This window comes from Homo sapiens, chromosome 13 (assembly GCF_000001405.40).
Source record: "Homo sapiens chromosome 13, GRCh38.p14 Primary Assembly".
NCBI lineage: Eukaryota > Metazoa > Chordata > Mammalia > Primates > Hominidae > Homo > Homo sapiens.
This window is the reverse complement of record NC_000013.11, coordinates 20,416,776-20,436,885: the sequence shown is the minus strand read 5'-3', so window position 1 is coordinate 20,436,885 and position 20,110 is coordinate 20,416,776. Positions and strand designations below refer to the sequence as shown.

General features: G+C 47.8%; 1 protein-coding gene and 1 non-coding gene across 4 annotated transcripts in view, besides 5 other annotated features; both read left to right on the top strand.

The window, feature by feature from the left end:
- Positions 1 to 20,110, top strand: part of CRYL1 (crystallin lambda 1) — a 122,189-nt gene that overhangs the window by 88,972 nt on the left and 13,107 nt on the right. For 2 of the 3 annotated variants that reach the window (NM_001363647.2, NM_015974.3), the window contains one exon: positions 4,590 to 4,784. In NM_001363647.2, coding sequence (NP_001350576.1) covers positions 4,590 to 4,784 — 195 coding nt within the window. Of the gene's footprint in view, positions 1 to 4,589; positions 4,785 to 9,580; positions 10,252 to 20,110 lie in introns of those variants that run through there. The other variant, XM_005266416.6, reaches the window with a different exon arrangement.
- Positions 3,040 to 3,108, top strand: MIR4499 (microRNA 4499). Its single transcript, NR_039721.1, has one exon. It is a non-coding gene; the product is annotated as a microRNA 4499 (primary transcript).
- Positions 10,821 to 10,880: an enhancer, noted in NCBI's record as "active region_7421". NCBI's record gives its function as "activates an Ori minimal core promoter by ATAC-STARR-seq in GM12878 lymphoblastoid cells {active_cell/tissue: GM12878}" and the evidence as "EXISTENCE:reporter gene assay evidence [ECO:0000049][PMID:35858748]".
- Positions 10,941 to 11,000: an enhancer, noted in NCBI's record as "active region_7420". NCBI's record gives its function as "activates an Ori minimal core promoter by ATAC-STARR-seq in GM12878 lymphoblastoid cells {active_cell/tissue: GM12878}" and the evidence as "EXISTENCE:reporter gene assay evidence [ECO:0000049][PMID:35858748]".
- Positions 11,433 to 11,672: an enhancer, noted in NCBI's record as "active region_7419". NCBI's record gives its function as "activates an Ori minimal core promoter by ATAC-STARR-seq in GM12878 lymphoblastoid cells {active_cell/tissue: GM12878}" and the evidence as "EXISTENCE:reporter gene assay evidence [ECO:0000049][PMID:35858748]".
- Positions 11,683 to 11,732: an enhancer, noted in NCBI's record as "active region_7418". NCBI's record gives its function as "activates an Ori minimal core promoter by ATAC-STARR-seq in GM12878 lymphoblastoid cells {active_cell/tissue: GM12878}" and the evidence as "EXISTENCE:reporter gene assay evidence [ECO:0000049][PMID:35858748]".
- Positions 16,660 to 17,859: an enhancer, noted in NCBI's record as "CDK7 strongly-dependent group 2 enhancer chr13:20993166-20994365 (GRCh37/hg19 assembly coordinates)". NCBI's record gives its function as "activates an origin of replication core promoter dependent on BRD2, BRD4, P300/CBP, MED14 and CDK7 cofactors, with strong dependence on CDK7, by STARR-seq in HCT116 cells {active_cell/tissue: HCT116}" and the evidence as "EXISTENCE:reporter gene assay evidence [ECO:0000049][PMID:35650434]".

Here is a 20,110-nt window from a genome sequence, read left to right as displayed (position 1 = left end):
CTGCAGCCCCCAGTCCCTGCTTGGGGCCCTTTGTTTCAATCATTAGTGATTTCTGCCTGGGCCAAAAATAGGATGAAGAAAAAGGAGGCTTGTTCATGCCGTGCCAAAGTGGATATTCAGCAAATTGGAAAGGTTGCTTGTCTCTGCCCACACAGAGAAGCCTGCAACCCTCGTTGCACGGCCACGTGTTCCCTCAGTGAGTGGGGAAAGGCGCTGGCCAGGCGGGCTCGTACTCCCAGCGCAGGAGTTCAGGCTGGGTTTTAGGGTGGGCTTCCAGGACTAGAGCTGCTGACGGCCACACTGAAGGCCCAGGAAGAGGCTGGGCCCGGCTCTGTTGTGGACATTTTCTTCTCCAGTGTCTTTTGTGCTGTTTCCTCAACTCCTCGTGGCAGTGACTCCCGAATTCCCACGTGGAGGGGCTGAGGGAGGAGAATGTGACGGCTGGGGCCTGTGGGTGACAACGGTGTGCATGTTGCACTGCAGTCTCAGTCCTTACTGAGCTCTATGTTAGCATTGACAGAGTGGCAGTTTTCTACTGATAGTTTAGCCACACTTTACAAAGAGGCTCCCTGCTTTTTTCTCTTCCTTAGTTCAGTCTGGGAAGGCGATGGTCCGACAGGGCTGGTGGGGTCTTCGGAGCCCACCAAGTACTGTGCTGTATGGACAGGCCTGCTTGGGAAGGGGGCCGCGGCTGGCAGACTGGGGCGTGCGGTGGGCGTTGGGGGAGAGGCCACCAGTTAGCCCGCTCCCCCGCCCCTTGCTTGTGCGTGGCCTTTTCGAACTCACCTCACGTCTCACACCGAAGTCATCTGCCCTGGTATTGGTGGTAAATATTGGATGTATGGGCTTGCTGTCTGCAAAGCGCCCGTGCTCTGTGCGTCTCTTTGCACATCTGCACGGCCCTGCGGCCGCTCCGAGCTGCCTTTGAGCCCTCCCTGCGAGCGCGCCGCCGAGAGGATGGGCTACCCATGAAGCATCGAACACCGAGGGCTGGCAAGAGGCCCCAGCCCGGCTGCCTCCCGCGAGGGCGCTGTCGGCCCTGTGGGCCTCGCCGTTTTGGTTGCTCCCGGAGCGGGGGTGAAGGGAGTCTCTGTGGGCAGCCGCGCTGTCGGCGCGGTCACATGGGGCCCGGGCGGCGGGGAAGAATGCGTCCCTTGTGCTCCGCCGGCCTGCGCAGGCCCAGGCCCCTGCGCTGCGCTGCCGTTGTATCTGTCGAACCCTTTCGGGGGCGTGTTTCCGAGTCCACCTCGCACACTCCCACATGGAAGGTTTGGGGCGGGGGAGCTGCCTCCTCTCCTGTCTCGCCTCCTCTCCTCCCCTCTACTGTGGTAAATTCAAGGGGCACCCGACCTTATTGACAAGATTGACCTCTTGGGCCAGAGGCTGAGGGCTGTGGTTAGGGAGACTGTTTCCCAGCCGGGAGACCTCGAAGGTCCTTTTGCGGCGGCTTCCGTAGGTGGACACGGAGGTGTGGATGGAAGTCGGTGTGAATGGAAGTCTGTTTTGGGGGGCTGCGTGGGGCCCAGTCGCTGGCCCCTGCGTCCTAGTCAGCCGTGTGCCTTGTACAGTGGGCGCTGGGCAGCCCTTCAAGATTTTTCGTTGGAGAAGGCATGATCAAAGTCCTGTTTTTTACTTTTAAAATGTATAATTGTGGTAAAATATACATAACAAAATCTACCGTCTTAACTATTTGTAAGTGTGCAGTTTGGAGGCATTAAGGACATTCTCACTGGTGTGCAGCCACCACCACCAACAATCCATGGAACTTTCTCCTCTTATAAGACTGAACCTCCTACCCATGAAACACTAACTTTCCACAGCTCCACCCCAGCCGCGGCACCTGAACCTAGCTTTCTGCTGCTGCTGTGGATTTGATAGGCTCCCGCTACAACACGGATTGCTCTGGGAGGATGAGATAGAGGGGCTGAGACCCCAGCAGGAGTCCCATGAAGGGAGTGCAGAATATATATGGAAACGGGGGCCCTGAGCTGAGGGTGGCAGTGGCAATGATTTTTTTGAGAGAAGAGTAAAGAGAAGTAACAGGACTTCAGTAACTGATGGTGTGTCCGGAGTTGGTCTTGGTGGGTTGTGGTCTTGCTGACTTCGTGAACCACAGACTTGGTGGTGATTGTTAACAGCTCTTAAGGATAGCACGGACCCAAAGAGTAAGTGGTAGCAAGGTTTATTGTGAAGAGCAAAAGGACAAAGCTTCCACAGCAGGGAAAGACAGCGGAGTGGGTTAACGCTGCAGGTGGGGGTGTAGGGGTGTGGGTGGGGGGGCGCGTGTGGGTGTGGGTGGGCGGTAGGGGTGGGTGGGGGGAGTGACCAGCTTTTTTTCCCTAATTGGCCCCTCCCCTGTTCCATTTCTGTCCTATCAGAGTTCCCTTTTTTCAATCCTTCCCCCGATTAGCTACTTTTAGAATCCTGCTGATTGGTGCATTTTACAGAGCGCTGATTGGTGCGTTTTGCAGAGTGCTGATTGGTGCGTTTTACAGAGCCCCGATTGATGTGTTTTACAGAGCACTGATTGGTGCGTTTTACAGAGTGCTGATTGGTGTATTTTACAATCCTCTTGTAAGACAGGAAAGTTCCTGATTGGTGCATTTTACAATCCTTTTGTAAGACAGAAAAGCTCCCCAAGTTCACACTTGACCCAGGGAGTCCAGCTGGCCTCACCTCTCAATGGAAAGTGAGAGGGGCTAGGGAGAGGCAGGGGCCAGGAACATTTCTCCTGGTACTGACTTGGGTGTGGGGATGTGACACATTCTCACTGAGATCAGGAGCCTGCCAGGGTTGGGGACCATGGGGATAACCCACATGAGACAAGTCTGTGCTGGGGTGTGCCCAAGGGAAGGCGTCCAGCACTCAGTTGCAGATGTGGGCCAGGGTGAGGCTGGGATCTGTGTGAGACATGCAGGTGTATTCTGTGTCCTCAAGTCTTGGTGGTGGTGACACCAGGGAGTGGGCACAGATGGGCCACTGTGGCAGACTGGGGGTCACCATCACTCAGTGAAAGTGTGAGCAGGAAAAATCGCAGAGAAGACTGAGAGGAGGGAACTGGTGAGTTGTACATAGAAATGCTTTCTAACTCCTTGTCTCAGTCTGTTTTTGCTACCAGTGAGGCTTACAATGTTTGAAAGACCCCAATCCCAGCATGCCTGCTTTATATAAAATAAGGTAAAATTCATCTGAGAAAGACACACTTCCAGTTCTTCTAATCTTCATTTTTCAAAAGGTCAGAGGTTAAGCGTTTCTATAAGAATTCAGTAGGTGACAGGTGTTTAACCGAGGCATCGATTTACCATCTGTCTATTTGGAAACAGGAGCCGTCTTTTCTTGATTCCTGAGAGGGCAGAGCAGGTGCCCAGGATGGCCCTTATTTCTCCTTTCCTCTTCTGTGGGAGTCATCTTTAAATGGAAGCTTCTGCTCATGGAAGCATCACTTAGCAAATGTGACATTCTACCTATCACCCATGTAGTGGAGGAAAACCCATTGAAAAGCATCATTTCTGTTTGCTGTGGTATACTTGGCTCAGTGCTCAGGCCAGTCAGGTTCTACCAGGCACTGTTTTCTTTGGACATTTGATAACTCTCTGTGAGGAATCTCTAAGAACAGTTTCTCAAAGTAAACCAAGAACACCAGAGTTGAACAGTGAAGTCCAGGGTCCTCCCTTGGGGCATGCTCACCTGGACAATGCCTTCCTGTGTTGGGCTCGTCGGGGTGCTGGGGCTGCTGAGGTGTGTTGATGCCTGTTGATTTCTAGAGCAGGAAGGTGACATTAGACTGGAAGAGGCAGACACTTAAGGTACAATATGGAGGAATTAAGGAAATACCAGGTTTTGGGAAGACACTGCTAATAATTTATTTTTGAGATGATCTGGCACTGTCACCTAGGCTGGAGTACAATGGCACAATCATGGCTCACTGCAGCCTCCACTTCCTGGGCTTAAATGATTCTCCCACTTCAGCCTTCCAAGTAGCTGGGACTACAGGTACACAACACCACACCTAGCTAATTTTTTTATTTTTTGTAGAAACAGGGTCTCGCTGTGTTGCCTAGGCTGGTCTTGAACTCCTGGGCTCAAGTGATCCCTCCACCTCGACCTCCCAAAGTTCTGGGATTACAGGTGTGAGCCACCGCACCCAGCTTGCCAATAATTTTTAACACTGACACAGAAGAATGTCAGAGCCTGTGGTGACTGCAGATGGGAAGACATGATTCTGGGGGGTGGTGGGCTGGGAGGAAGCTTTGAAGACAAGACAGATGGGAGCAGAGAAACTCTGTCCTGGGGAGGCCAGGGGCTTGAAGATTAGCCATAAACATACAGGATAGCAAGCTGTTCCTCCAAATTCCAACTTTGTATTTTGGGTATTTTTTTTTAAACAAAACCACACAATTCTGCATCAGGTTCCCTTTTTCTCTCTCCTTTGTGAATAAATTTCTTTCTCAAGTATCTTGTTGTTGGCCACTGAATCTAAAGGCACCATTCCAAAGATGCATCTGCTGCTCCTGACCATTCAGGGTGGGTGCAGTTCCCCAAACCCAGGATCATCTCCTTGACTCCCCCACTTCTCTCTCTCTCCTAAGGTGAATCCGCCATACTACATCCCGCTGGTTGAGCTGGTCCCCCACCCGGAGACGGCCCCTACGACAGTGGACAGAACCCACGCCCTGATGAAGAAGATTGGACAGTGCCCCATGCGAGTCCAGAAGGAGGTGGCCGGCTTCGTTCTGAACCGCCTGCAATATGCAATCATCAGCGAGGCCTGGCGGCTAGTGGAGGTGTGTGTGCCCGTCCTCTCTCCCTCCCTCCCTTCCTTTCTCCCTCCTTCTTCCCTCCCTCTCAAAGTTGAGCAGGACAGTGAAAGTTGTTCCTTGGGCAGCCTGGAAGCTGGGAAAGTCAGAGGCTGCTTGCTTCTTCTTGCTCTATTCTGGAGACCAAGGGCCAGCTTTAGAACCAAAATAAAATGCAGCGATTCACTGTCTGCCTGAGAGGTTCTTCTTACAGTCACCTGATACCAGGACACGATGACAGGCTTCTCTCCTTCCTGCCCTTTCATAGCATTAGACATAATAACCTATGTGGCCCACTGCATTTTCCCACAGAGGCAGCTTTTACCCCTCAGTGTTATAATTTTTCAAAAGGAAAAAAATTATATTTTGTGTAAACTTCTGTCTCCTGAAGGAACCTAATTGTTTCAAGAGCTTGAGGAAGAAGTGATGAATAGACTTGTTAGAGTAAATGCTTGTCTTACCTATAAAGAGGAAATGATATGTAAATATATTTAACATCATCCTCTAATGAAAGGATTTTACATGGAGGTGAAGAAATGGCCTGGCTGCACGCATTCTCGTGTACATTTGCATGAGGGGCCGTGGTGCCTGGAGGAGATAGGTCAGCTGGACCCCAGGACGAGGCGGAGAAGTCTCGGGATCTGGGAGTGGAACTGTCCGGCCTCCCTTATGGCACTTGCCCAGCTTCTGCAGGGGGAAGGCAAGACTCTGCCCACGCCTGTGTTGCAAAAACATTGTGGAAGGCTCAAGGGCCGGAAGTACCCAGCTGCACCGCGTAGGGAGGACGCTGCTCGGGCTCGAGTCATCTGCACCTGGCTCCACAGTTCCTTGTTTGGACTCGCATGGACACACACCGAGCCTTGCCTGAGATGGCAACCAGGAAGCTGACTGTGCCCCAGCTTCCTTGAGTGTTGCATTTCAATTTCCCAGCAGTTCTTCCAAACCAGGCAGGTGTGCATCACAGATGTGGCCTCCCGCGGCCTGCTTCTCTTGTTGGGCCAAATCCCCGTTAGGTACATTGTCTGACTGGACTGCCGGGTGCATTTGCCACGCGGTTGCCTCGATTCTGTGTCTTGATGTCTAAATCCACTTAAGGCTCCTGTATTTTCAAGAAACAGTGCTCGGGTTTCCACTGTTAGGGCGGCGGTTTGAATTTCTTAGTAATTTCTTGAATATCAGTCAGTGTCAAGGTATTTTTAAAGAAACACGGATCTATCAGAACCTTTTTGGAGATTTATTTAAAATATTTCCATTTGTCTAGAAAAGGGGAACAACTTTAGACTCCTTGCCCATGTTCACTTGTTGAATTAAACCTTGTGGGGTTTTACAGGCAATCTCAGCTTTTTATTTGTAAGATATTTTAGCGCCCTGAGTAAACTCTTGCTTTCTCCAATATGAAAGGTGTGAGCCCACTCAAGGAAGGGTTTGGGATTCTGGTGTAAGGGGATCGGGTGGGAGGTGTACACAAAGAACTCTCCATTGCAAGAGCCATGGAGGACTCTGGTGTTTCCTTTTGCTGCTGGAGGAGGGCAGGCGGAGGGGTGAGTTGGGCTGCTCTGGTAGTTCTGCTGACTCACGATGTCCACCCTGCTTTTGGTTGTCCCTCTTCATGGGTCATGGCAGCCTGAGTGACATTGTGTTACTGGCTAGCGGGAACATTCTTACTCCTGGCTTTCTGTGGTGACATACCTCCTGAGAAAGTGAAGCCTGCATATGTCTCTGTGTTGGCTGCTGTGGGACTCAGATGCCTGGAGTCCCTGTAAGGAACTGAGTGCCAAAATCTAGCAGGATACAGTTTGTGACAGAACAGGAAGAGGTCAAGAGAAATGGGAAATTAAGAAAATGTGAGTAAAACCCAAAGAATTACCTTGGTGAAAGTCTAGAAGATAATTTGTTTCTAAAAATAAGGATTATCTACAGGTAGTGGGGCCCAAGGCAGCTCTAGAAACTTCAGGTCCTCTCCTGGCAGGGGTGGGGTGGGAATGGCACTACCAGGCACCCCGAGCCCCACAGCGATGACTTCCAGGGTATGAGGGGCTTTAGTTATGGGGCAGGGCTGGCAGAGAGGGAGCATGGAGGAGTTCGGGGAGGAGGAGGGGGCTTGTCGTGGTGCTGACCTTGACCATCACCGCTCAGTGGCAGCACCTCCGTTGGCCAGCTACTTCAGGAGCAAGGTCACAACCAGCGTGCCAGCATTCCAGTAGCAGGTTGAAGTTTGACCCTTGCTTGGCATGTTAATTGGGTAGAGCCAGGATGCTTTCAGGGTAAGAGAGGGGCCAGGTGACTTGGTTCAGGGCGCTAGGGGAGCCTGCTGGAACTGGAGCACTGGCACACTGGTCATGACCTTGTTCGTGAAGTAGCCGCTGACATGCACACCTGAGCATCCACTTGGATGCCCTGTATTCCATAAGACTCTGGGGCTGCGCGGCAGAACCGTGCCTCGTCTCAGTGTGGCCCTAGAGAAATCTTGCCTACCGTGATTGTGCTGGCTACAGTGTGCCTCCCACCTAGCAGACAGTGGTGTACCTGACACTGTTCTGGTGGGTTGGTTTAAGGATTCTTGATTTTATTGCAGGAAAATCTATGCTGCTGTGGCCGGTTTCCATGCCAGATACTGCAAGTCAGCAAAAGTGAACAAACCTCTCCAGGGCCTCACCTCCCCGTCTTGCAAATCCGTATAGTTGCTCCAAACCACAGTTGAACACAGGGTGCAATGACACCCCTTTGACTCACAACTTCCAAGCCAGATGAACTTGAATTTGCATTTTGGAGTCTTTCAATAGTTGAGCTTAGATTTGGTGTTTTCCAAGTTTGCCTCAAAACTTTCAAGAGCAACTTTTAATAGAAAAGGAGCAGAATTGGGGAAGTTTTACAGAAGAGGCTAAGTAGGCTTGTGCATGTTTTAAGTTGAAAAGCTCCAAAGGCCTTGCAGAGCTTCTCCTCAGTGAGGCCTGGTGTGGGTTCCATGTGTGGCCGGAGTGCCTGGCTCCTGAGCCTTGACTGTAGTGAATGGAATGAGCATTGGTCGGGGGGCAACTAGGACTCACTGCTCCTCTAGGACTCACTGGTGTGGGCGCTTCTGTTTCAGGATCCTCTGGGCTCATAAAGCAAGTTGAAGTTTGACAGCCTTTTCTGTTTGACCCTTGGCTTGGCATGTTAATGGATTAGAGCTGGATGCTCCTACCAGGGTAGGAGAGGTGCCAGGTGACTTGGTTCAGGGCGCTGAGGGAGCCTGCTGGAAATGAGCTGTGTGCCTGTGTCCAGGCGTGTGGGTACTGGGTCAGCAGGTCAGGGAGGAATGCCGTTCCCTGCCACCCCTGCCATCTGCAGGTGAGGCAGCTCTGCACAAATCATATGAAAGTATGAATTTCCAGGGGTCTGACCTCCAATTTGAGGTAGGAGCTAGAGCAGGATGGAAGGACGGCTTGCATTTCCACCCGTGACAGTGTCTTGCTGCTGATGTCAGCTGCGTTGCCACTCACTAAGTGGTGATAACAAGGGATCCCATGGATTGACTTTTGCATGTTCAACCAGCCTCACATACTCGGAATAATCCTACTTGGGATTGCTGGATTCAACCTGGTTATGCTTTGTTGTGAATTTTTTTTTGCATCTAAATTCATAGGACATATTTGTCTGTGGATTTCTTTTTTTGTATTATCTTTATTTGATTTTGGTATCAAGGACGTACAGGTGGAGAAGCCCAATGCTTGGGACCAGAAATATTTCAGATTTTGGATGTTTGCAGATTTTGGAATATTATATACTTACTGTTTTAGCATCCCTAATCCGAAAATCTGAGATCTGGAACGCTCCAGTGACCATTTCCTTTGAGTGTCATGTTGGCGCTAGAAAAGTTTCAGATTTTGGAGCACTTTGGGGTTCAGATTTTCAGATTAGGGATACTCAGCCTGTTCTAGCTGCATACAATGAATTGGGAAGTTCTTCCTCCTATTTTCTGGAAGAGATTGTGTGTACTTTTTGTTAATTCATTTTTAGATATTTGGTAGAATTTTCCAGTGAAACCATCCGGGCCAGGGTGGGGTTCCTTTCTGGGAGCTTTCTAACGATGAATTTAATTTCTTTAATGGTTATGGAACCATTTGGATTGTCTGTTTCATCTTGATTGAGTTTTGATGGTTCGTCGTTTCTGAGAAATTGGTCCATTTCTTCTAAGTCGTTGAACTTAAGAGCATAAAGTTCTCGGTAGTCCTCCTTTTTATTCTTTCAATGGCTGCAGGGTCTGTAGTGATATCCCTGGTTTCCTTCCTGAAATTGGTGATTGGTGTTCTCTTTCTGTCTTTGTTCTCTTGCTAGAGGTTTATCAATTTTATTGATTTTTTTTTTTTTGAGGAGCAACTTTTTGTCTCATTGATTTTTTTTTCCTTTTATTTTCCCGTTTTCAGTCTCACTCACTCACTCTGGGACCATATTTTTACACCTGCAGCCGAGCATTAAAGAGACATTCTAAGAAAGGGGCGGGGGTGGCAGGGAGGCTCCCTCACTGTGGGGGTTTGTGGAGGGGAGCCACGCTGCCAGTGCCATTTCTAGGTCAGAAAGAGAAAGCACTGGGAATGACAAGCATTTTCTTTTCTTGTCTTTGTGGCATCCTGGGCTATGAGACGCTCCCCTGTCATCACCCATTCTCTCTCTGTTCCCTTGCAGCTCTGTAAGCCCTTAGACCTTCGTGGGGTAGAATGGACACCCGGATAGCCAAGGGAGTGAAGGAGCCAGGTCTATTGTGCCATCTCACAGATGTTCACTCCGTTTTGTTTCTCTTCCAGTTGGCTTCAGTTTTGGGATGAAGCAGCCCTGTGGTCTTGGAAATGCCAGATGGACATGTCTGGCCACAATCTACTGACACTTACTTCCCCTGCCGGAGGCGTGCTCCCTGGGTCACGTGATCTTATTGGCTGGGATGTCATTTCAAGTCTACATTTTTAAGGCATTAGCATAATGAAGGACATTGTGTTGTGACAATAGACTTTTGGCTGGACAGTAGCTAAGTTTGTTGCCTGTAAATTCTTTCCCATGAGGGCAGGGTATGTGGAGGTGCCTGGGAATGAATCTGCAACCCTCGGCAGGTTCTCAGCCTGCTGGTGTGAGTTGGTGGTGATGAGCTTCGGAAATTGCTGACCTTGGGTTCTGCCTGTCCTTCGGAATGATGTCATCCCTGTGCTGGACTGCTGTCCTTAGGGCCTGGGCCGCAGAGATTGAGTTCTTGGTCTCTTGATTTGTCAGGGTGGGTGTGGTCTGGGGCATCTGGATGGGGCCCTGAGATTCCAGAACTTCATCGTTGAGCTTTACTTCAGACATGTCTGCCAACTGTTAGGAGACATTGTTTTAGTTAATGAAGTGTATCTCAAAGATCATGTAGTAAAATTGACAGATGAGGCTTTTTTGTGGCAAACTTATTCAAAGGTTTCTGTTGAATATCATTTGTATGCACATACCACGTCCCTGGCTCTGTATGTGTCTCTGTGTGTCTCTATGTGTGTCTCTTGTTTCTGACTCCTTCTCTCTGACCGCAAGCTCACAATAGATACACATGCAGCTCTAACCAGCTTCTGCTTAGTTGGAGATTCTCATGTGGTCACTATAGCTGTGATTCACAGTCCTAGTTTTAAGACACTGAATACCTCTGGTTATACCAAAAGATGTAAAAATTGATTTTAAAAAAGTAGCTGGGCAGGTGGCACACGTCTACAGTCCCAGCTACCGAGGAAGCTGAGGCAGGGGGATTGCTTGAGCCCAGGAGTCCAAGACCAGCCTGGGTAACATAGTGAGACCCTCTTTTTTTTTTTTTTTAAATAAAGATAGACAGTTCACTTTTAATTAAAAACAAACATATTAGAATGAATGAACAATAGGTTGTAACTGCACAGAGGATGAGAATCGCTCTTGCAAATCAAAAGCTCACCCAGCCAGACCTGCCCCGCTTGGGCCTGCTGGAGAGTGACGCCCCAGGGGATCTCCCTTGTCATCCTGCTTGCATGCTTAGCCTCAGCCACCCGCCTCCAGCCATTTGATTTCCTGAGCAGGGATGCAAATTGTGATGAGGTTTTCCTTTTAGGAGGTTTTCCCTTTAGGAGTCATGAGCCTGTGTGGGCAGAAGCAGGTCCCTCAGGAGGGACACCCAGAAACAGCACTCCCGTATAGCTGATTGTAGCTGAATGCCTGTGCTTGGGTGTATCCTGCCTGCCGACTGTACAGTGGGGCCTCTGTGTACTGGGGCCTGATCTCATGCTGTCAGCCAGGTTTGCGCATAATCCACTGCATTATGAACTGTTATGCTGAAATTAGAATGTAAATTAGAAGCTCCTTGGCAGACTGGGAGGTTACACAAAGGGGAGCCAAGGGCATGAACATGTTCTAGGGGGAAGATGGCCTAAAATGTTTAAATTTGCTGCTGTAACTACCGCTTACATTTCTCTCACATGTGCTATGTTCACTTGGAGGTGAATGGTCCTTTGATTTCTTCTCTCCTCTTATCAACCAACATTCATATGGGTCTAGTTCTCCACCTCTGCATGAATACCCAGGAAGGTGCCATCTCACATATTTCATTTTCTGAGCAGGAAGCCATCTCAGCAAGCTGCCTGCGTGGCCTGTCCTTTTCTGGCAGTCCGGTGAGGCTCTGCCGTTTCACTAATATCATTGTCAACGTGAGCAGGTGCCCTGAGACCCTATAACAGAGCAAGGCAGGCTCACTGACGGTTATTCAGATGTCGACTCTGGAAGAGAATCAGCACAAAGCGGGCACTCCAAGGAGGAGCAGAACTGGGCTCCATCATCGTTTCACAGGCTTTGAGGTCAAGGACAGGAACAGCAGTCTTGTGGCTGGAAGCAGCAGAGCTTGACAAGAGGAAGCCTGTGCGGAGCCACCGCCAACAGGAGACGGGGTCCTGCTGGCAGCTTTTCTGGGGAAGGACGGCGTTGGAAGTGAATTGCTGTGGTTTGCTTCAGACTGTGGTGCACCTGGAATGTGTCCGGGGGAAAATGTTGAGGCTTGAGTAAAATAGCACAGCGCAGACATTGGCAACATCTGTGTGGTCTTGGCACGAAGTCACATAGAGCGATGGGCCCAGTGTGTAGGGAAGTTGGGGGAGCCAGGAAACAGCCAAGTCTGGCCTCCGCACCATGCCTCAGCTGGAGGGGTTCTACATCTTACCTACTTGAAAACTGAACCCTAAGAGTTTAGGATTTTTTTTTAAGACACAACATTTGAAGCATCTGAGTGAATCGCTGATGGGGCTTCCAGAGCTCCGTGTATCTCAGCGCTGCCTTTTCTTCCTGTTGCTCTGAGGCTCACATCACCCCAGAAAGGATGTGTTCTCCCTCTGCCGGCTTTGCCCTGGGCTAGGCCTGTGCGGGCTCTGCAGGGGGTTGGGGGAATCTTTCCCCTGCTTCTCCTACCAGGCTTCTTCTGTGACCGGTTCAGTCTCTGTCTCCTCTGACAGCATCTGTCCAAAGCCCCAGGTGCCGCTTAGAGCTGATCCCTCGGGCACCCCAGGATGCTGTGCCTTTCTTTCCTCTCTCACATGGCCTGGGCCATTGTCCCTTCGCTCAGCTGGCCTCTGTCTTCTGCGCCTTCTGAAGTCTGGGTGGTCAGTGTGTCTGTGGGAGTAAGTGCCTTACCAGAGGGTACTGGAGAGCTCTCTTGGCTCTGACTATTCCAGCTCCTAGTCCCTGGGAGGTTTGCTGAAGACCATCCTAGCTCCACTGTGCCTGTCCTCTTCCTCAGCTCCTTTCCAACAGAGTCCACATGCTGCTTCTCAGTCCAGCCACTCAGCAGCACCTCTGTTGGGACTGCAGGGTCGTTAGAGCGGATACATCACCCACGTTGCTAGGACCAGCCTCCTGGTTAATTGAGACCTGTGTTTTTGTTGGCTTCAAATGCAGAGAGCTCTGTAAGAATGATCTTCTGCCAGAAGCAATGAGAGAGGTGATATTTTTCATCTACAGGGAAGTACTGAAAGATTATTTTGAGGAGCCCTAGAACTATATCAGAGCCCATTCCCGGCCGGGCGTGGTGGCTCACACCTGTAATCCCAGCACTTTCGGAATCCAAGGCAGGGGAATCACGAGGTCAGGAGTTCGAGACCAGTCTGGCCAACAAGGTGAAACCCCGTCTCTATTAAAAATACAGAAATTAGCCAGGTGTGGTGCTGTGCACCTGTAGTCCCAGCTACTTGGGAGGCTGAGGCAGGAGAATCACTTGAACCTGGGAGACAGAGGTTGCAGTGAGCCAAGATCACACCACTGCACTCCAGCCTGGGTGACAGAGCAAGACTCTGTCTCAAAAAAAAAAAAAAAAAAGAACCCACACCCCCACACCCATGAATCAGTGAGTACTCAGTGTCCACCGAGAGAGCCTCCAGTCAAATAGAGAGTAGAGTCTGGCCTTCCTCAACAAAACACTAGCAAACTGGATTCAATAGCACATTAAAATGATCCTATATTTAATAACATAATCAAGGGGAATTCATCACAGGGTGCAGAGATACTTTACCATAGGCAAATCTATAAATGTGATATGTCATGTTAACAGAATACAGGACAACCATATGATCATCTCAACAGATGCAGAAAAAGCACACGACAACATTCAGCATCATTTTATAATAAAACTCTCTTCAAATTAGATATAGAAGAAGTGTTCCTCAACACGATAAAGGTCATACGTGACACACCCACAGCAAATATACTCAATGGTGAAAAGTTGAAGGCTTTTCTTCTAAGATTAGGAACAAGACAAGGGTGCCTACTCTCACCACTTCTATCCAACGTAGTATGGAAGTCCTAGCCATAGCAATTAGGCAAGAGAAAGAAATAAAAGGTATTCAAATTGGAAATGAAGTTAAATTGTCACTGTTTGCTGGCAACATGATCTCATATATAGAAAACCCTAAAATTCTGTTGGAACTGATAAATAAATTCAGTAAAGTTGCAGGATACAAAGTCAACATACAAAGGTCGGTAGCATTTCTATACACTAACAAGGAACTACGTGAAAAAGAAATCAAGAAAACAATTCCATTTACAATAGCTGCCCCCAAAATGCTTAGAAATACATTTAATCAAGAAAGTGAAATATCTGTACACTGACAACTATAATTACACTGATGAAAAAACTGAAGAAGACACAAATAAATGGAAGGACATTCTGTGTTCATGGATTGGAATGATTAATATTGTTAAAATGTCCATACTGCCCAAGGTGATCTACAGATTCAGTGCAATCCCTATCAAACTTCCAGTGGCATTTTTCACAGAGTAGCGTGGCCCTTTGTTTGGAAAGACTGTAGATACCACTCGAGATGGGTTAGGATGCACATGACAAACTGTTGGAATGTGGGGCTCTTCCAAAAGGAGAGCAGGAGTGCAAGACTTTTCCAGAAAGGCTGGTGGCTTTGGCAGAGAAATGGCATCTAAGCATATTTGTAAAGCTTTCTCCTCCTCTATGTTAGAGTCAGAAGCTGCATGCCACCCGTGTGCAGAGCCAAGTCCAGCTCAGCTTTCCCACAGGTTTGCTTACACTTGCTGGGCGACCCCAGCCTGGCTGGAGGTGCAAGGGAGCACGTTTGTACCTTGTAATGATTTCTCTCTAGAGTAGTGCAGATGTTCGCAGGGATAATGTCAACTGCCACAGCAACTGGAATTCTATCTGCAAACTTTTATTTGCTGTGTTGGAATCATTAGTTAATTAGGACTTTTTTTTTTTTTTTTGGAAATGGAATTTCACTCTGTGGCCCAGGTTGGAGTGCAATGGCGTGATCTCGGCTCATGGCAATCTCCATCTCCCAGGTTCAAAGGCTTCTCCTGCCTCAGCCTCCCAAGTGGGTGGGACTACAGGCGCATGCCACCATGCCTGGCTAATTTTTTGTATTTTTAGTAGAGATGGGGTTTCTCCATGTTGGCCAAGCTGGTCTTGAACTCCTGACCTCAAATGATCGGCCTGCCTTGGCCTCCCAAAGTGCTAGGATTACAGGTGTGAGCCACCGCGCCTGGCCTTAATTAGGATTTTTTTTCTAGCAGCAATTTTCCATAAGAAGTAGACTATTTTTATACCATTATTTATTATTTTGTGGGTGGCCATTTTCTGAGTAGTCATATTGGTGAGCAACAAAACCCTATTGAAAAGAGAGATACTGCTGATTTATGAATTTAGAGATACCTGTATCCCCATTAATAAGCAAATAAATAACATCAACCACATACTCATTAAAAATCCCCAAAATGCTGCAAAGCTTCTATGTTAGTATTCTAACTCTAAAAATAAATAAATAAATAAATAAATAAATGAAAATGCTGTTACTATAACACCTTCTAGCAATCATTACCAATAGGTGCTTGAGCAGTGAATATAAATGATGGATTTCAGCTCCCTCAGTTTGAAGTTGGGAAGTTAACAGGCCAGGGGTAAGGGTCCCCAGAAGTAGAGGATGGGGGTAAGGAGCCCCCAAGAGAAAAGGCAAAGAGAAGAGAGGTGGGAGGTGACAAATGACACTGCATCCCTCTTCCCTTGTGGGAGCCAGCCTTTGTGCCTTCCATCAGCTGCAGGTAGAAGCCAGGTGAGAGGCCACTGGAGCCCTATGGGCCATCAAGGCAGGAAGCATCTCTGGGTAAAGATGTGGGGAGTAGGCAGATATGGGGCTTGTGCTCCATGGCTGTTTTTGGAGTCAGGGCTTACACTCTTTGGTTCAAAACTTATTGTAGTAAACTGTATTCCCAGAGGACCCCTCAATTAAAGTATCACTACCCTCATAGAATGGAAGTGAATGTATTCACATTCATACACAATGATGGATTCTTTTTGCTGTTGTATTTGTTGTAAAAGTCGAGGCTTTCCCTTTCTTTCAAACTCTATAATACTGTTGTTTTTCCCCCTAAAAGCATCATTATACACACAGTGTTCTAAGAAAAAGTGCACCAGGGAATTAGCACTGGGGCCTGAAGTACTCTGGAATGTCCCTTTTATTAGGGCAAAGTCTTTCCTCTCTTTCCTTTCCATTTTTTTTTTTGTTTGTTTGTTTCTATTTAAAAGCTCTATTTTAGGCTGGGCGCAGTGGCTCACGCCTGTAATCCCAGGATTTTGGGAGGCCAAGGCGGACGGATCATGAGGTCAGGAGATCGAGACCATCCTGGCTAACACAATGAAATCCTGTTTCTACTAAAAATACAAAAAATTAGCCAGGCGTGGTGGCGGGCCTGTAGTCCCAGCTATTTGGGAGGCTGAGGCAGGAGAATCGCTTGAACCCAGGAGGCGGAGGTCGCAGTGAGTTGCGATCACGCCACTGCACTCCAGCCTGGGCGACAGAGTGAGACTCTGTCTCAAAACACACACACACACACACACACACACACACACACACACACACACACACAACCTCTATTTTAAAGAAAAGTCAAAGGGAAAAACTCCACCTGTGTTTGCTCTACCCTAAGTCAATTGCTTTCATTTTCCTTTGTTCCTGTCTAGTCTCTATTATGAACATGCTACTCAAGTTTTTATTCATTCTTAATGGCTTTATGATATTTCATTTAGCTGGTCTTTTTTTTTTTTCTTTTAAATCCAATCTTTCCCTTACTGCGGGATGTTTTAAGGTCAGGCCTCAGTGAGCCTCTATGCACATATGGTTTCTTCTTCTGGAGTCTTTTCTGGAATAATTCTGGGAGTGGGCTCAGCCTGCGGGAGAGTAACATTTTTATAACTTGATAGATGTAGCTGAGATGCCTCCCAGAGGGGAGACCCGCCTCTCCTCCGGCAGCTGTGCACGTAGGCTTGTTCCCAGCAGCCTGGCCAGGGTGGTCCACCTGGTGTTTCTCATCTTCTTTCCCCGGAGCGCTGACTCCTGCGCGTCCTCTTGGAAGACTCTTGACAGGACGGGTGTTTTATGGGTGTGATTCAGTGTCCTCTTGCATCAGTTCAATGTGGTGGTGTTCAATCAACCCTTGTAGCGTTAGCAAAATTTGCTCAAGTCATTCCGCAGGAATGTCTGTGTCTTGCTTCCAAGAAAGCTTGTAAGTGCCGGCAACAGGCCAAGCAGCTCACAAACCTGACCACAAGCCTGTGAGTAATTGTGGGGCAGCACTTAGCAGTCTTTTATTTTCGACTTATTAAAGTCTCATCTTGGCCTCACCTTCTCCCTGGAAGGTGGCGTGGGTGGGAACCACTGGGTCAGATCTTTTTCACCCTTGCCGTGGAGCCAGTTTCCTGTTGCATGTGGGGGAAGCAACATGTGGTGAAGAGTATAGAAAACGAAAACATGTGGGTACAGTATGTATAAGTGGAGGGAACAAACTCATAATTCCAACTAGTTTCTCATGAGAGACTCATGAATCATTGTGGTAGTTCTCAATATAAACTTAATCTAGGCCGGATGTGGTGGCTCACACCTGTAATCTCAGCACTCTGGGTGGATCACTTGAGGTCAGGAGTTTGAGACCAGTCTGACCAACATGGAGAAACCCCATCGCTACTAAAAATACAAAATTATCCAGATGTGGTGGCTCACACCTGTAATCCCAGCACTTTGGGAGGCTGAGGCGGGTGGATCACTTGAGGTCAGGAGTTTGAGACCAGCCTGACCAACATGGAGAAACTGTGTCTCTACTAAAAATACAAAATTAGCTGGGCGTGGTGACGCATGCCTGTAATCCCAGCTATTTGGAGGCCGAAGCAGGAGAATCGCTTGAACCTGGGAGGCAGAGGTTGCAGTGAGCCGAGATCCTGCCATTGCACTCCAGCCTGGACAACAAGAGCAAAACTCCATTTCAAAATAATAATAATAATAATAAACTTAATCTCTAACTCTGTTACTCCCTGTAGCATTTGCAAGGACCCTAGGGCTGGATGTTTCTCAGAGGGATAGTCTAGTACCCTAGCTCATGCTCGAGTTACTTCTGTGCAAGTGACTGTTCTTGTCTGGGTCTGTCCTTGAACATCTCTGGAGATGAGAAAATCACCGAGATTTAACTTTGTTCCATCCTTTCTTTCACTAGAGATTGAGATGGACGTGCTGGTGTAATCCTTTCTTCTTGGCCGCTGCCCTGGGGTGATCCACACAAGCCCAGTGCTTTCTTCATGTCGCCCTCGTAGGGCTGAAGGTGGCAGAGTACTCTACTTCTCGCTGTTGCGTTTCTTTATTTGACACTCACCTAAGATAAAACCTTTTGTGACTCCTGACTCTTAATTTTTCTCCTGTTTCTCAGTTGACAGTGGACTTATGCCCAAACTCTAGCTGAGGAGTGGAAGAACTTGAATAGAACCTCATCCAAATTCCTGGGTAGCAAGTCTGTGTTCCTGCTGGTGATAGTAGTAGTAAAGTTATTGTAGTGTTTGCACAAGAAAAATGTGAAAATTCAGGACCAAGTTTGGGGGAAAAGTAGAGCAAAACAAAATAGAAGATCAAAAGCTGGGAATTAGTAAAAAAGAAGTGGATGAGGAAGAATGGTATGAAGAAAAATGAGAAAAGCAAATGAAAATGAGGCCATGCAAAAAATACATGAATCAGAAAATTAAATCTAGGAATGGGATGATTATAGAGAAGGAAAGATGGTTCGGTGTAGCTGGTGATCAGTAGAGGAGATAGTCACGGAGGAGGATTTATCCATCAAATATCGTGTGCCTCCACCACACAAGTTTCTCTCCTGCCTTCCTCTTCTTCTGGGACTGTCCGAAGGACCAGAGTAAGTACCACAGCATCTGTTAACCCTTTGCTATTGTTAATTGTTAGATGTGTCTTGCTTCCTCTTCTCCCCATCCCCACCCCACAAACAAACAGAAGTGCTTGATCCAAGATCCCTGAGGGTATCTGTCCCCTGAGAGGGTCAGCTCGGCCAGGCTAGAGCGTCCAGTCACTCAGTCAAACTCAGTCTAGATGTTGCTGGGAAGGTATTTGGTACATAGTTGACTTTAAGTAAATGAGATTATTCTCCATAGTCTGGGTGGGCTAAATCCAGTCCATTGAAAGGCCTTGCAAGCAGAACTGAGATCTCCCTGAGGAAGGAGAAATTCCACCTGCAGACTGTGGGGTAGTTCCTGCCTGGAGTTGCCGGCCTGCCCTCCTGATGGCCTGTCCATGGCTTTCTGACTTGCCAGGCCCACAGTCACATGAGCCAATTCCTTGAAATAAATCTCTTGATGTATGTGTGTATGTGTGTGAATCTTACTGGCTTTGTCTGGTAGAACCCTGAGTGATACATCCCTAAACCTTTCATTCGACTTAACATTTGTTTCATAGCAGTTGGGTACGTTATTAACTATCTTGCATTTTCTCCTACTTCACGGATGTCTTGTGGCTCCTCTCAGCCTGGGCATTTTCTCCTACCAAATCAGGTGCAAAATATGTGCCCCAGCTATGCATGTGTTACTCCACTGTGGAAAAATCTCAGGTTTTAACTAAGGAAGCAGAAGCAAGGAGTTTTTCAATAAAAGGGGTTCCTTAACACTGTCTGGGATCTCTTTGCCCAATGATTTTCAGGACGCGAAACCATGTTTTGAACTAACAGTGATTGTAGTATTCATTGCTTTGTATGATTTTTAAATAATCTTTTCTTTGTATGTGTGACTTGAGAATTTTACCTTAAAATGGAGTAAGTACTGATTGCTAAACTGATCAATGTTAACAGAACCACAGAAGGGCTGGACTCAGGTAGGGTTCCCATCTCCGCACAGCTGTGTTGCCCGTCACCTATTATAAGGAATCGCTTGTCAGTTCCCTGTTTCAACACAAGCACTTGTTTCTGCCTGTCATGCTGCTGCGATTATTTATCAATGACAAATGATTATTTGTCATTGTTATGATAATATTAGGCCACAGATGTCACAAGGCTTTGGGTGGAATTAAGCTCAGTGGCAAAATTAAGCAACCTGAGCTTCAAAACATCCTAAATGGAAAAGCTTTAGTTCAGCACCAAGTGCAGCAGGGAGAAACTCAAACGTTTGCCTTGGGGACATGATATCCTAGTTGTGGAGCTTCTCAACTGAATGCCTTGTGGTCCTTTTCTTTCTCTATATTTAGCTTCTTGGTAAAAACTCAAGCTTTGAGAAATCCATTTCAGAAATTCAAATGGGCAGAAAGAAGCAGTGAGGAAGGGAAAGTATCAAAACGTTTTTCCCTTTCTAACTTGTTCTACTGGTGAATAGTGACTGATGGAAGACCCACAGCCCTCCTCTAGATGAAATCAGGCAGAACTGAGAACATGGGAGTTGGAGGGAATGTGGTTCCTCCCAGGTCATGGGGCAGCATGGAGAACCCTTCTCAGGCGTTAGTTAGGGGCTGTTAGCTCAGATGATACAAACCAAAAAG